The following is a 17480-nucleotide window of genomic DNA, read 5'->3' on the forward strand; positions in this document are numbered from 1 at the left end:
GTTCAAGCAATTCTCCTGCTTCTGCCTCCTGAGTAGCTGGGATTACAGGTGCTTCTACTATGCCCAGCGAATTTTTTGTATTTTTAGTAGAGACGGAGTTTCACTATGTTGGCCAGGCTGGTCTCGAACTCCTGACCTCGTGATTCGCCTGCCTCAGCCTCCCAAAGTGCCGGGATTACAGGTGTGAGCCACCGCGCCCGGCCTGTATTAACTATTAATATGAACTCAGTAGTCTTCTTGTCACATGAAGCAACAGATCCCCAATCCATCTATTTTGTTTCTTTTCCACTATTTCTACCCTGATTCAAGCCAACACCATTTCTGACTTCAGTCATTGCTATAGATTCTAAAAAAGGTCTCTCTTGCCCTTCACAATCCACTCTTTATCCAGTAACCAAAGCTTTCTTTTAAACACTTGGATTGCATTACATTTTTCCCTCACTTAATATTTTCCAGTGGTTTCCAATCACATGTTGAGTAGGTCCAAAGATCTTACCTTGGCCTACAAGGCCCTAGTTGACCTGGCTTCTACTCTCCCTCATTCACCCCCACACTTCTCTCCACCCTCTTTTCACTGGCTTTGTTCTTCTCCCTGATTATCCCTCACTCCTTTCCTAAGCCGTCTTATCATTTCATGCTCTCTCCTCTTCCAAAGTAAGTCACTTTCTTTTCTATTACCCAGTTTTATTTTCTTCATAGCATTCATCACTTTTTTGAAGTTATTTACTTATTGATTTCTTTACTTATTTATTAACTCCCTCCCCCTCCCTCACCCCCGTATACTGCATGTGAGCTTTTAGAGGAGGGGATCAGAGGAGGGGATCGGTCTGTCTGTCTACTGTTGAATCTTGGCTGCTAATGAACATAGTCCCATAACAGCGTAAGCAGTGTTACCCATTAGGAAACCAGCATTCTTGTATTGTATTCTTATCTTGTGGGCCTGCTGGTTTAAAGGGTAAGAAACTCTAATTCCTGAGAATGAAAACTTTTAATTCTTCATAAAAAGAACGTTTAAGAAAGCAAATCCTACCCCAAAAGTATGTCTTGTATTAAGAATGTGAAAGAGCCCAGTAAATTAGTTACTCCCAAATAAACACATTCATCCTCTTGCCTCATGCTGTGAGGCTAAGCGTTAATCGTTTAGCTCAGAAAATGATTTTTTTTTTTTTTTGAGGCGGAGTCTCGCTCTTTCGCCCAGGCTGGAGTGCAGTGGCGCTGTCTTGGCTCACTGCGAGCTCCGCCTCCCGGGTTCACGCCATTCTCCTGCCTCAGCCTCCCGAGTAGCTGGGACTACAGGCGCCCACCACCGCGCCCGGCTAATTTTTTGTATTTTTTTTTTTTTTAGTAGAGACGGGGTTTCACCGTGTTAGCCAGGATGGTCTCGATCTCCTGACCTCGTGATCCGCCCGCCTCGGCCTCCCAAAGTGCTGGGATTACAGGCGTGAGCCACCGCGCCCGGCTCAGAAAATGATCTTTTTAAGGTCTGTTCTTCCAGAGTGTAGCTCTTATATTAACAACCATTACATCCACATATCAAGACAGATTGTTTCAATTAGTCAATGAGGCCCACGTTTTTGAGAGCTGTTAATATGTACATGAGCAATTACTGTAGCAGAGTTAAAAGGTGTGCCTTTGGGAATTTTAGATTGAGATTATCAGTTTCATTCATGAGCCAAGACAGAAGCCATGAGAATTGTATGCTGCATTTCTCTGCAGGTTTGTTCGCTAGAAGCCTCTCCAGTGCCCACACTCCAAAGGTTATGAAGTTGCCAGATTCCTTTCCTTGGTCCAGTCCTCATACCATCTCAGAACAGTGCCTTCCTTTGTATTCATTGAGAACCAGGCAATATGCTGAACATTTGGGAGTTTCATAGTGAACAAGACAAGCAAGCTCCTTGACCTCATAGAACCTGAGAGACCAACAGAGTGAATCTTAACCCAAATGTACATCAGAATTAAGTGGGTACTTTTACATGTTCCAAAGCCAAATTTGAGTAATTTTCGTTCATTCCTTATTACTGGTAAATGAAAAGAAAAATAAAAACCTTCAGCTGACAGTCTGCTTTTCCACGTTCAGATAAAAAGCCGTGCATCTTTAATGTGGATATGATGCCTCTCCATTGTGCTCAATCTCACCGTTTCCCTTCTAAAGTTTACTAGAATCCCACAATGTCAGCAGGAACTGGAGTCAAATAATAGATGATTTGTAGGCTTCAGGGGTGTCACCACTCTCTTTCCAGTTGGCCAATCCTCTAAATGATTCGAAGTCTCCAAGTTAGTCTCAAAAATGCCTGAAATTCCATTATTTGAGTTAAGGTATTACTGCCTCTTCAAATGGTAGTCTAAGGAAAGAGCAAAATGTAAGCACTTGAACTACATTGAATACATTAATAAAACTCATCAGGTAATGCCCCAGCAGTAGCATTACAAAGCTCAAGGCATCCCTTGGAATAGGATGCATAGGAGGTCAACTCTGATAGGACAAAATGTGGGCAGGTCTACATGAGCCACATCCCGGGGAAGCAGGAGGACCCACCCACAGTTATGGTATGGATCAGTGTATGGGTTGGGAGAGGAAGCATTAGGTATAGAAGGCACGCTGGATTTATGACAGACAGTAAGTGAGCCTGCCCCAGTGCTAGAGGAAATGATTGGAATGGACAGTGGTGTGCAAATAGAGTGCAAGAGTGGGTCTTGATGTTTTTGAAGGGATCCTCTTAGAAGAAGGAATCAACTTGGTCTTTGGGGTCCCAGAATGAAACCAGGACCTGCAGAAGCTGACCTTACTGAAGAAACTGGTTACAGCTGGGGCCTCAGCACCCAGGCTAACAGCAGGAGCTAACCAGGTGCTCATCTGTTTCACATAATTCAGGGTAGATTTTCTAAAATCAAATTCCTGAGGTCCCTCTGCGACCTCCTGAATCAGATGTTGAACAGTAAGAGATATTCCCCATACTTCTATCAAAAACAATTCCTCAGGCCGGATGTAGTAGCTCACACTTGTAATCCAGCACTTTGAGAGGCCAAGGTGGGTGGATTGCTTGAGCTCAGGAGTTTGAGACCACCCTGGGCTACATGGGGAAACCCCATCTCTACCAAAAATACAAAAACTTAGTTGGGCGTGGTGGCACGCATCTGTGGTCCCAGCTACTTGGGAGGCTGAGAAGGGAGGATTGCTTGAACTCAGGGGGTGGAGGTTGCAGTGAGCTGAGATTGTGCCACTGTACTCCAGCCTGGGTGACAGAGTGAGACCCCATCTCAAAAAAAAAAAAAAAAAAAAGTCCTTGGAAGAATAAGCTCAGGAGATCTGTTGTATAACAGGGTGATTATAATGAATGACAATGTATACTTGAAAATTGCTAAGAGAATAGGTTTTAAAATATTACTGCCACACACACACACAAATGGTAAGTACGGGAGGTGATGGATGTGTTAATTAGCTTGATTGAGTCATTCCACAATATATTTTGAAACATAATGTTGTATGCCATGAATGTGTACAATTTTTATTTGCCAACTTAAAAAAATTAAAAACAAAAACTCTTACAATAATAATGATAGTTAACTTTTTGAAAACTACTTCCTGTGTATACTTAGAGTACTTAACATGCATTGTGCCATTTAATCATCACTTATTAAAAACATTTTTCCACAAAAACCTCTATCTCTATTTTTCAGATAAAACTGAAGGAAGAGAGGTCATCCTTATAGAAATCTCGGTGGAGTCTAACATCTTCTTGATAGAAATAATTTTAGGAGTATAGTAGTCTGAGTTTAGGTACCATTTTCTGTTGATCATAGATTCTGTTGATCATAGAGTGATCTGTTGTCATTTTGACTCATTTCCTTCCAGTACTTGGCAGAGGGTAGGGGGAGATGAAAACATAGTCAATATCAAAATGAATATGTTTACAGTCTGCTTTATCACTTTGCATATTGTGAATATTTTCTGTATTTTCTAATATCTCTCAGTTCTTCAAAAATGAAATCTAATTTTCCTACTTGTACCTTGCTGCATTCTACAGATTTTTCACAATTAACACACTTTACTTTAAATTCAAGAAAAAAAACCAGAACAATGAGTCTCATTTAATGTCATTTCTAAGACCTTATTTTTGTAAGCTAGAACAAGTATAGAGGCAGAATATAAAAATAATTTTTTCTCAAAATGCAAATTGTTTATGGTCTTTTGATTATCAAAGTAATACATGTTCATTACAAAGTAATTCACACAATATGTGAGTTAAAGAAAGCGTGTGTTTCTCTTGCAAACAAGTAACACTCTTTTGAAATGCCAATATGACTTCATAAACTTATTTCCACTTAATAGATAATGGGAGTCTTTTCATTGTCAGTAAGTAGCTACTTACTGAGTCTGTGACTCAGAGGGCAGCACCCAGGCCAGCAGCAAGTACTTAGCAGGGGCTTATTTCTGGTTTTGTTGTTGTTGTTGTTGTTTGTTTGTGTTTTGAGGCAGGGTCTTGCTCTGTCTCCCAGGCTGGAATACAGTGGCACATCACAGCTCACTGCAGCCTCGAACTCCTGGGCTCAAGGAATGTGTCACCATGCACAGGTTTTTTTTGTTTTTTTTTTTTGGATACAGGGTCTTGCTATATTGCCCAGGTTGATCTTCAGCCCCTGGGCTCAAGCAGTCCTTCCACCTTGGTCTCCCAAAGTGCTGGGATTATATGTGTGAGCCACAGCACCTGGCCTCATCTATGTTTTTTAATGCTGCATAGCTGAGGCCCTTGAGCCAGATCCCTGGGGTTCATATTTCATTACTGCCACTGTGTGAGTACGACTCTGGTCATCTGTTGAACTTGTTCCCTCATCAGTAAAATGACTTTTAATACGAATACCTGCGTGATAAGAGTTTTTGTGGGAATTAAACTGTAATACTTAGAAACGTATAGTTTAGTGTCACATAGTAGGTGATTGATAAATTTTTGCTTTTTTCCATGATGTGGATGCAATACATTGTTGGACCTTTCGGCTCTTTCTGTTGGTCTGTCTTATAAACATCACAGCTACTTAGATCATATATCTGGGATAAACTTAGGTTTAATAGGAGCCAGGTGTATATGACATGAAGATGAAAGGTAGGAGAGATGTCTAACATGCTATTTGACTGGTTGACATTTGAGAATATAAGCCAACATTAGTCAGAACATCTGACATTTTCAAAAGAAGCTAATAACTTGTTTGAAAAAGCCAAAAATATATGTTTATGTGTATAGTATACCCTTTTTGTTAAAATACAATACATTGTCTCGGCCTTCATGATGTACTTATGGGCTAGAATTAGTGATCAGTCAGGGTTTTAAATCCAGAATGTTTCATCTCAAAGTGGAAGTTCTTTGTGTTACAGTGCGCTTGTCTACCTTTACCTTCGTGAATTGAGAAGTTTGGGTTGCTATGCTAAAAGTTAATTCATTTGATATTATGTGATGTAGCTTTATATGTCAGCTCTGAAACTGTCTATAATAATAGTGACTTTCTCTCACCAGAATGCAATATATGGGTTCCTAATATGGGGCTAATACATTTCTTGAAATTATATGTAAAATTTTGGCCATATAGGTCTTTTTCCTTTTCTTTTTTTTTTTTTTTTTTTGCATTCCATGTTTTGTTTAGACTTTCTATTGTTTTCTGATTTCCTTTTTCCCTTCCCCCTCAAAAAAGAAAGTGTCTGGAGAGAGAGGAACAGACTTTTTTTCTGTAGAACTAATTTGTCTTTTACTTTCCAATGTAGAGAATACATATATATGTATACAATTTACGTTAAATTTTATTCATAACCTCATTACTGGTCTCATGAATTTCTAGAGGTCTGAAAACTCACAGCCAAGGCTGCTGTACGTGACTATTCCGCCAGAATCCTATGGGCGGGTACCATTGCTGTCTCATTAATTTCTGTAACCTCAGTGCTGAGTGTAGTACTATGTATGTTATAGGTGACCTATTTACATTTTTTGTGAAATAAAAGAATGAACCCACTATTATTTGTCTTAACTAATTTCAACATGTGAGAAGTCTTCCAGCTTACGTTTGTAAGAACTAGATCATAAAATGTCTGATCTTTTAGTTAAATCTAGTTTTGGTGCTAGGACTTGGCAGAACAATACCAGTATCTATGGGCATTTTGTTTTGACATAACTGACTGGCAGACATAATGCTTGTCACCTTCTCTTGGCTCAGGAGAGGGTGGAAAGTTCAACAGGTTTTACCCAACAGGCATTTTTCAATTTAAGTAGATTACGGTGTGAACGATGCAGGTAGAGATCAGAACTGGCAGGGAACTGGGATTTGAATAGGGCCTTCAATTTATTTGACATATCTAATGTTCTTATGAATGGGGATGGAACCCTGGTTTTTGGTGATAGGTAGAAAGATTGGCTCCCAGATTGATAGCGTCTTGGGTGGATTAGTAAATCGATTTGTTAAGAGCTGGAATTATATACCTTTTGGGTCTAAAATTTACCTCACAACAGCTTAAGATAACAAACCTACTGCCCCTTGCATTTCAAAGGTATTTTGTATAGAAGCTGTAAGTTGCTTTTCTGTAGAACTACTATTTCTACAAAAATAAAAGCTATTATTTTACTAAATAAAAATTGGTAATTGATTTCTTAGTGATATATTGTTCATCTGAAGCCTTTTATTTTTCTTGTCTGTTATTTTAAAATTTGTTCTTCAATTGTCTTATTGCGTGTTTATTAAAACAATATAATTAATACATTCAAAACAAAATTAAGAAAATACATCACCAATTAATTAAATTTGACCTCAAAAGGCTGCAGCTTACCTTTACAGCTATATATATTATGACTAAATTACTTGTTCTAAATAATGTAATGAAACAGAAAAAAACAATAATGCTAACAATGCATATTATCTTATGAGTTAATTATATTTCTGTGTTATATTTAAACACAACCTTGAATTAACCTCAGATATAAATATATTAATGAACAGATATTGTGGTTGTCTCCCACATAATACTAATGAAAACATCAGGAAACTAGAACTTTTCCTTAGCCAAAGATAGAATTAATCAAAAACAGACTTATGATGAAATTTACCTCAACTCTTCATTAGCAGTGTTACTATGAGTGTATATCTCTCTGTGTATATTTGCAAATTTCAGCCAAAGACCCTGTTTTTTTCACTCCTCTTTTTACCTTCTTGCTGGGATTTCTCCAGTCATTTTTCTTCTAAAGTTGTAAGTGCTCCATCTGGTTTGGAGCCTTTCTTATTCCTATGCACTCCTCCAAGTATATTTTTGAGTATGCATTACTTTCCTCTCTAGCCATCATCCTTGTTTACTCCTAGACAAACAAACAAAAATCTTTTTCGTGCACAGTTACCAAAAATGGCTAAATTTAGATTCATCCAACATCTGCCTTTATTACGGATATGGAAACCTAGGGAGACTGTTGAGATTCCAAGGCTACCTGGCAAAACCAAGTCTTAAATGCGAAGAGATTAAAACCTACCTACTGTTTTGAGGTGAGCATTAAAGAAGGTACTAGTTGTGGCAGTGTTTTGGAACATAGTAAACCCTCAGTAAATATGAAGTTTTTCAGAAATGCTCATGAGAACATGAGATGTTGTGCAGTAATCCTTCAATAATGGTGTTATTGTCCACATTATTGCTGGGGAATACTTGAATCCTCAATGAAAAGCTTATCTTAGGATGTATCCTAATTGTTTTCTTAGACAAGAAGAGGTTCAAAAACAAGAAAGGGGGTCTAGCTTTCTGTCATTATTGGAAAGACAAGTGAAACAAGGCTGTTGTAAGAGTGTCTGTTTAGTGTAGTTTTCTTTTTTAAATTTTAAATATTTTTTTGACTGACAACTATGTTTATGGTACACTACATGATGTTTTGATATATGTGTACATTATGGAATGTCTAAATCAAGGTAATTAACATACATTGCCAACTATTTTCTAGATGTTCACTTCCAAGTCCTTTTTGTGTTAATTCAGTGCTTTGGTTTAACCCAACCTGGTAATAGAAAGGAATAAATTTCTCCATTTATCAAGATACTTTTACAGAACTCCCATCTCCCCACTTGTCCATGATATAATTATTTTGGCAATAGTGATAATGAAAGGTCACTATTTTGTGAGATTTTTGTTAAAGAAAAAGGAATAGAGCATACACTTTTTAATGCCAGGTAACTTCAAAAGAATATTTGACACTGCTACTGTGATTAAGTGATTTTAATTTTCTACTCCATCACGCTTAGGTAGCCTGCACTTCCTGTATTTAAGCAGAAATGGAATGGAAGTAAGTCAAGTCAGAGTTGATACGAGTTTCACTAGCTATGGGTAAAGTTTCCAGTTTATTCCCTTCTCTGTAGAATATTTTTGGCCATTTCTTCATATGTCACCCTTTCTTACCAAGTGGGTTTTTAAAGAAAGTAAACATTATTGGATGCAGGTTTTCCTTCTGCAACCCCTAATGTGTTATCTGATAGATAAGGATGGTTTAACTAATGAATTTACTTAAATCAGTAGATCTGATAAATGCTTTAGACTTGACTTCATAGTGCTTGGGTTTAGGGACATAAATAGGGCTGTGTTTTGTGAATTTCGACATGCGATTTTCCAATTCATCAGTATCAGATAATGGGAAATTATTTACCACATTTTCAGTAATAATCTGTCTTTCGAAGCAGGTTGCTGCCTCTGTTGTGTCGACCTAACCCTAGCAATTTCTTGTTTGTTGGCATAAAAGTTATTTTCCAGGAGTATGAAAGTCATGCTTGTGACCCCAGTTAGAAGGGAGAGCTTTATATAATAGGCTGGGAGCTGGTCCAGTTTTCGTATGTGGGCAGTGAAGTCAGAGTTAGACACTGCAACAGGGAGTGGGATGAAACACTAAAAATTTTTAATATGTGGTGTCTTAGCTGTCACTACCCACCTCAGTGCTTAAGAAATGAACTAATTGTTAAAATTATAGGTCTGAATGCATGTATATATATAGCAACACATATTTTTGATGCAGATGTGTTAATGTTACTATGGGGAATTTTGCTTTACATTTTGCTTTGGTGTTCGAGAAACCTTGGCAAAAGGACTGGGAAGGACTCTGAGAGAGCTTAGTGTTTGTGTTCCTTTATCTCCAATTATTTGTTTGGAATTTTCAATTAAATATAATGGGAAAACCATTTTTTTCTTCAGTTTTTTTGATGACTACTTTTCTTATTTTACAGTAACCAAATTTTCATCTATTTTTTTAAATTGCTTGATTAGGATCTCAAAGGGTTCTAAGGTTTTGTTTTGTTGACAGCCGTAAAATGTAACCATTATGGAGTAATTTTTTTCCCTTTTAAGTCTTTTCATGTGACCTCAATTTTTCAAATGTTTTTTCCCTCAGGTATCTACCTGTCCTTAAAAATTGCCAAGCTTCAGAACAATTCTTTTATGAACTAATGTAAAAATTGTAAATGTTTTCACATAAAGGCACAATAAAAAATTATCTAGTTTGAAAAAATTGTTTAAGTAGGCTCTGTATAGTCTTCAGTGATGACCTAACTAATTTTTACTAGAGTTAGAAGAGAAAATCTCTAGCAGTGGCTTCCTTACGAATTGGCTTTTAGAAGGCAAAACCATTTTTATATTCTTTCCCATATTTTACTGATACATTTCTAATCACAAGTTTTTGAAAAGGTTAATGGAAATTGCAATGCTTTATTGTCATGATGCTTAAGTGATTTCTTTTTCAATAAAGGGTATGTTATTAAAGAGAAAAATGATTTTGCGACCTAGGCATTAAAGTATGCAGTGCCATCTGTCTTAAGCCTGGGTAATCAATGGTGTAAGTGAGGCCAGTTTATTTCTCATAGATTTACTAGCATCACTGCATAAATAGCCATAATGGAATTGATTTCTTAGGCTGAAGCAGCTTTTATCACATACAAGGGTTTGATGATGACTGTATTAAATGTTGACCTTTGATTAGCCTTAGTCTTTCTTGGTTACAGAGGTCTTAGAAACTTCATGCTGAAAGATTGAAAATGCAATGTTCTTGACATTCAAGTGTTTTTTATATTAACTACTTGTTCTTATTTTTTACTTCCTAGACAAGCTCTTATGTTCCATGTGTCTTGATTGTTCTGTATCTCAGTAAAGTTTTATGGCTACCATGGGCACCTCCCTTCTGATCACCCAAGAGGCACAAAGAATAACACAGTGAGTTAGAGCATGAGATTTGAACCCAGACACGTGTGCCCAGGTTTGAATGCTGGGCCCTGTACTGCTGCCTGCATGACCTAGACATGTAACTTTACTTATGCAAGCCTCAGTTTTCTCACCTTAAAAGCATGTATTAGAGGCCAGGCACGGTGGCTCACGCCTGTAATTCCAGGACTTTGGGAGGCCAAGGTCGGTGGATCATAAGATCAGGAGATCAAGACCATCCTGGCTAACACGGTGAAACCCCGTCCCTACTAAAAATACAGAAAATTAGCCAGGCGTGGTGGCACGTGCCTGTAGTCCCAGCTACTCAGGAGTCTGAGGCAGGAGAATCGCTTGAACCCGGGAGGTGGAGGTTGCAGTAAGCCGAGATTGCACTGCTGCACTCCAGCCTGGGAAACCGAGTGAGAATTAAAAAAAAAAAAAAAGATATAAGAAAATTCTGCTTAGATTGTTGTGTAAAACAAAACAAATTGTGTATTGATTGTACCTGGCAAGATGCCAGACATATGGGCAAATGAATAGGAGCAATTATTATTGTCTGCTCTTCCTATTGTTGTTACTACTACTGAGTCAAATCATTTAGAGTCAGTATAGATATTCTCTGTTTAAATTCTCTCCCCGTGCCCTGTTTTCTTTTTTTTAAGCATAGATCCCCCTTCTCCATGGCTAGTTAGTAGAACAAACTGGGGATGACGCTTGTTACATTAATCTAAAATGGTTTTTCTGCAAATGATTTAAAAATCACTAACTGATAGTGTGGAGAAGACCTAACTTCCAGGCTGATCTAGCTCTGAGGAACATTATGAGGGCAAGAAAGTCTTTGTCCCACCCAATGCCGTGTCTCCAGAGTGGTGTCCCTTAAACTGACCTCCAGTCCCTATACTTTATTCTGATCCTGGTCATAGAAGGTGACTGGCGGCCTCATTTCTATTGCATTCCTCCTGCCACCCCACCATCCCCTGAAAAATGCAGTGGGCTGTGTCAGCATAAATCAGCTCCTCACATACCCCATTCAGCAGCCAGTGTCTTCAGTGTTTGAGATCCTGGCTGAAAGCAAGTGTCTGCTTAAAAATAATTTGTCGCTTACCTGAAAAAGCCTCTACACCCTGCAAAATCTAATTTTTCCAAATATTTTCGAGTGCCAACTCATATTTTAAGCCAAGCAGCTGACAGACATTTACCTGTAGGCTAGCTTAATCAGATTTTAACCTAGTCAGAAGCCTAGCCAATGAAATAAACTTCCTTTGTGGGCACAGATTTTTTAAATCCATCAAAAAACGTGCCCCAGAGCCAGTGTGATTTTTTTAAAAAAAGGATTTGCTAAATGATCACCCAGGAAATGTGTGTGTTCGTCTATAGGACAAGGCCGGGGATTAGGAAGAGAGGCACTTTTTTTGTGTTTCAGTAAGTAATTTTCCTTGTTATAATAAAAAATCACATCACTTGTTGGAAATCTGGTTGGTGCCCAACTGCTCCGGGCAAGTGTTTGCAACTCGTGATTATTTATTCCTCAGATCTTTTTAGATGTGTTATGTGTGAATCAGCCCAGCCTGCATTTAAGGCTTGAAAAATGTTCTTTAGGATTCCTTGGTATCAAAGCATCCATTAATTACTGAAAGGATAAGACAGTGGTTTACTGGAAGTCAGAATCTGCATGTTCTTTGTTCTAAAGAGGAGAAAAGAAGTTTTCGGTAGAAAGGAGAGCCACTTTTAAAGATGCCCTTTTAATATATTTTTGAAAGGTATGCATTTTTTTGTCATAAAGAGCTCTTCAAAATGATCTTTTTGTGGTGACATCTACATTACTCTGGAAAATATTCTTATGTTTCTGGCAATGATACGCTAATTACAGCCTATACATTTTTAAGAGTTGAATCTGTCATATTCTAGGAGAGGAGTGATTCTGATTCCAAACAAAACTGAAATGCATGACCAAACACATTATGAAATGTGTGGTTTCATTAAATCCTGTTGTTCATTCAGTCAGAAGAAAATTGTTTAGTTCATAAGAGGAATAAGAATGCTGAGGTATTACGATTTCATTTCCGTATATCCACAAACCTTTCCATTCATATTTAAGCCTTGCCACCGTATTATGTTATGTTGCATGTTGGCCATCAAGGAGGTCGGGTCACAATTTGGAAGAACATTGTTTTATACCAAGGCTTTGTTAGCATTCCTGGGTTGCACATAACAGAAACACACTCAAGTCAGCCTAAACATAAAAAGATTGTTTATTTTTAAAATATAGGAGTGTCTAATGAAACTCAGTGGTACAAATGTGGCTAGACGGGGCTAGAAAGGAGACAGAAGTCTTTTATTGTATCTTTAGCTTTTGTTTGTGTCTTGGACATTTCCTCCTTCTGCTGTAGACAGCTTCTCTTAGTTGGTGTCATATAGTCTGGTTCCTAATGCTTTTTTGAGTTTGTAGATTATGAGTTGATACTCACTGAGAGTCCTTTGGCCTAATGCCAAAGACCCAGGAACGACAACCTCATTGGTCCATCTTGGGTCAGGTGGTCATTACTTGGTCCAGTCCAATTGGCTATGGCCATGGAATGCACAACATACATGGCAGACATGGGCCTATACCTGTGATCCTGTTTCCGGAAAATGGGGCACTTAGCAGACTCCCTAGCGTGTGTGAGTGTCTTCTCTCACACACACTAAGAATGTGTGTATTCTGACTTGTGAAGGGCCAGATGCATCTAGGATAGCCTCAAATCTCAAGGTCTTGCAAGAATTCTATGTGTATCTTCTGGACACAGTTCAGTATCTGAATCAAGGAGGACTAACACAGGTCCGAGTTAGAGTCCATTTGGAGACACTGCTTACTTCATTCTCACAAGTACATTTCTCACTGTCACAAGCTTCAAATGTGCGTCCCAGAAAGGAAGAGAAAGCTGTCTATTATTTAAAGATGGGCTCATTATCAAAAGGTGACCAGAGGTATCTGCTTACAATTCACATTCCTAGCGCACCCTTAAAAACGCTAAAACACTAGATATTATTTATGAAGAAGTCAAAATATCAGCATGTCCTCTGAAAGGATGCTTGGGTTATTTATTTATTAATTTATCCATCTTCATTGGAAAACTTACCATCTGGATGCTGTCCACATTTTAAAAACACATAAATTAAAACCCAAGGCAAATTGACTACAACATGGGTGACCTTCAAACCTCTTTTATTCCAGCCAGTCATTTCCCATTCTGATTGTGCCAAAAGGAGGCAGGATGAAGGGAAAACATTCACACACATTAACAGAACTGCATCTTTTCTTCAGTAAAATCAGGTCTTCCTCCATAAGACCTTGCATTTATTTTAAACTTTATATTATAAGTAATGATAAAATGTGAATTATGAATAATATGCAAGAGTAATATTCCTAAAATAACACAGTGCATTTCATATTGCCGGCCACCTTCCACCTGTCACAAGACATTGTCCAATCTGATTTTCTAACTCGCATTTTCTGACTCTGGTTGAATGACTTTATACATTGCTTTCATGATTATCTTTACATTCTGTTAAAGGACAGGGGTTTGATGAATAAATATATTGTTTGCAATTTGCCTCTATCATTTGTGTATCCTGAATTACTCAAGTTTTAAATTGCATGAGGCTTTTAGTGAAATCATGTATATCCAAACACAGGTTTAACTTTATGCAGATAGGTGTTTTACATATACACACAGTTCTAAAATGATGGGAAAATTTTCCCTGTGTTTTTTTTTTTTTTTAACTTAAGTCAGTTCCTGCGTTTTTTGAACTAAGGCAATGTTGACACATTACTCCCCCTCTCACCCAAAGCTTAATTAGTTTTTCAAACTGATATTTATCGAGCTTCCTAAAATCCACCTGCCAGATTCCTCATGAAAACAGTCTAATTGAAATATTGCTTTAAGGAACTTTTAGAGGTAGGGAGGAAGAAAAATATGTACATAAGACTAATTAGTATTTTTTAATGAATGCTACATTTGCATAAATTGAAAGTTTCATTCTATGGACTTATTGTAGAGTTGTGGTTAAATCGGCATTAGTCAGCTTGGGCATGTTTCATGATTATTGGTAAAGGGAATTACACTTTTACTGGAGATGTCATCATTGATCAATCAGTTGACCAGCAAGTGAGCACTGGAGGAGGCATGAATCTTGGGGTGGTGGGAGAGTCATCAATCACAAAACCCAGTTTGGGAGGTGAGATGCACTCATGGACAGTTAATGAACAGCAAACAGTATGAAATGAGAAATGCTGAATTGCAGACAAGTCTGAGGATATGTGAGTCTCTATAATGGAATTAATTGTTCAAAAAACTGAACAAAACAAGGAATTGTCATTGAATTCATTTGGGATGAAGGCTGATTTGCCTCTGGAATGGGGCAGGAACTTAGACTGACCCCCCACTGCCTGGGTAAATCTAAAGCAGATGCTTTAGATTTAGTCAATATGGATTTGAATAAAAATATCCAAGACACAATTTGTTGGTGTAAACCAATTGCACTATTGTAAGAAATTCTGAAATTTCCACTGGCTAAACGGGCAACTCTAATAGAACCTTTATGGCTGGGAAAAGGTGAAACAACTGGATTTTATTGAAATGATTTCAGTTTTTTAACAAAAGTATTGAAGGAAGGATGAACAAATACGTAATCAACAAATAGGTGTTTAGGAGTAACTGTATACCAGCTTATGTGTCAGGTGAATAAGATAGAACTCATATTCTAATTACAATTGTAATACAACAGGTGACCTGAAGGCTACATAGGAAGAAAATAAGATGAGTGGCTTACCTAGCCTAGAAGCAATGGGTTTACTTCCAAAGAAGAGTGGTATATTCTCTGAAACGGAAAGAATATAGAGGAGTTGGATAGGAGAACGTGGGGGAAATGTGTGTCCAGGGAAAACTGCAGCAAGCCCCAGTGTTTAGGAAGAGAGTGGCACATTTGCAGAAGTCTCGGATGGCTATGGACAGAATGAAAATAAGATTACCATGATATGGAGAGGTAGACAGGGGATATGACAGTAATGAGTTTGGATTTTATTTTAAGGGAGATGAGAATCCTTCGAAGCGTTCTGAAGAAGGAAGTAGCGCAGTGAGCTACCTGATCCTGGTAGATGACCGGGAATGGGGAATGGATGGTGGGATGGAATGACCTGCAGTGTAAAATTACCTTGGGAGGCTCTTAAAGTAATACAGCTAAGTGATGGTGGTTACTAATCTAGATCTGATTGGAGGCAGGGGCTGGGTTAAGAAGTGGACTGATTTAAGGGATGTTTGGCAAATGAGGTTGACAATTCTTGGTGTTAGTTATGGAGAGAAGATAGAGACATTATTTCAGGGGTTTTGGTTTGTGCAACTAGGTCCAAAGGCAGTGCTCCATTGAGACAGTGAGCTCTGTGGAAGTGGCGGGTGTAGGAGGAAGAGGATGAATTCTGTTTTAGATAAATGTAGATATATCCAGTTGGAAATGTCTAAGAAACCAGTTGGTTAGATGGGTCTGCCACTCAGGACACAAGTCAGAACTGGAAATAAAGATTTGAGAGGCATTAATATGCACATGGAAATTAATGCCTTAGGGCTAATGAGAATTCCTGGGACAGATGGATTGAGTGTGTACTGGTTCCCCTGAGCTGTGAGTTATACCAGCCTTCAATAGACATCTTGGGGAAGGTAGATGGGCCTGCAGAGAACACAGAGTTGGACTAGCCAGAGAAGTACAAGGAAAACCCATGTTCACAGGAGCCAGTGGGCACATTTGCTTTGAGAAATATAGGATTAGTCAAAAGTGCCACCTATTCCCTGAAAGTCATGTGGGGACAGGGACTGAAATGGAATTCAGCTACAAGAAAGCTCTTTAGTGACCTTTCCCCAAGCAATTGCTTTAGATTTAGTCAATATGGATTTGAGTAAAAATATCCAACACACCATTTGCTGAGCAAATTGAATACCGAATATACTATTGTAGGAAATTCTGGAGTTTCCAGTGGCTAAACTGGCAACTCAGTAGAGCCTTTGTGGCTAGGAAGAGACAAAACAACTGGATTTTGTTGAAGAGCATTCCCATTTTTTTTTTTAGAAAAGTATTGAAGGAGAGAGGGAAGCAACAAATCTGATTTAGTGAAGACGTTTTCCTTGACAGCAGGATTTACTCCTGAGTTATAAATTTGCCATGATCGAGACTAAAATGCAGTGAAAGTTAAATTTCACCTATATCTCATTCAACGCCTAACGTGATTTAAATGACAGGATTTCAGGAGTGACATGTAGCTTTGGATCTAAATATATTTTTTATGGCTGGAAATTTTAATTTCAGATCAGTGAAAAATCATGACGCCTCTTCATGTGTAAGAGACTTAAAGAGTGGAGTGTTAGGCCGGTGCAGATGGTTTTGTCAGGCAGAACTATTAATGCTAAGGGGAATCAGATGGCAGAATTTGCACAGGCTTATCTATAAATGCGCACCTGCAAGATAACATTGAAATGGTTGAATGACCGACCTAGTTCTAAGATAGTGACATGATGAGTTCATCTTGTTTTAATCTCACATTGGATGTTCAATTTGCCTGTGACATGCTGGTATAGATGCCCTATAAAAGTATTATATGTGTGTGACCCGGCTCCTGCCTCCCAGCCCAGTTACATCTGGAAATACTCTTTCCCCTTTTCTCTCTGCTCCAGCTTTAATGACCTTCTTTAAAAGGCCTTGCCTCTTCCCACCTCAGGACCTATGAACCTACTTTCCTGCTTTGTCCTACTTCTGAGAAGAGTCTTTCCAGACTCTTCTTATTAAAGCTTCAGTTCAAATGTCACTTTCAGAGGAAGGCTTCTCTCTCTTCCTTGCTGAGATTTGGTATCCCTGGTATCTACTCTCAACTGCTCCCTATACATTTTTTTTTTTTTTTTTTTTGAGACAGGGTCTCACTCTGTTGCCCAGGCTAGAGTGCAGTAGTGCCATCATGGCTCACTGCAACCTCAACCTCCCGGGCCCAAGTGATTCTCCCACCTAAGCCTCGCAAGTAGCTAGGACCACAGGTGCACACATACCATGCCTATCTTCCCCCCCCCACCCCCCACCAGAGATAGGGCCTCCCTGTGTTCCACGCTGGTCTTGAATTCCTAGGCTCAAGCAATCCTCCTGCCTTGGCCTCCCAAAATGTTGTGATGACAGGCATGAGCCACCACGCCTGGCTTCCCTGTACTTTTTTGGAGTGGATGCAAATTACAGAGGGAGAGAGTTTAGTAACAACTACCATGACTACTCTTTTGAG

General features: G+C 38.5%; 1 protein-coding gene across 7 annotated transcripts in view; it reads left to right on the forward strand.

Moving 5' to 3' along the window:
* Window positions 1–17480, forward strand: part of PTPRG (protein tyrosine phosphatase receptor type G) — a 736039-nt gene that overhangs the window by 454692 nt on the left and 263867 nt on the right. The window lies entirely within an intron of this gene.

The sequence above is a fragment of the Homo sapiens genome, chromosome 3 (genome assembly GCF_000001405.40).
Source record: "Homo sapiens chromosome 3, GRCh38.p14 Primary Assembly".
In the NCBI taxonomy this organism is placed as follows: Eukaryota; Metazoa; Chordata; class Mammalia; order Primates; family Hominidae; genus Homo; species Homo sapiens.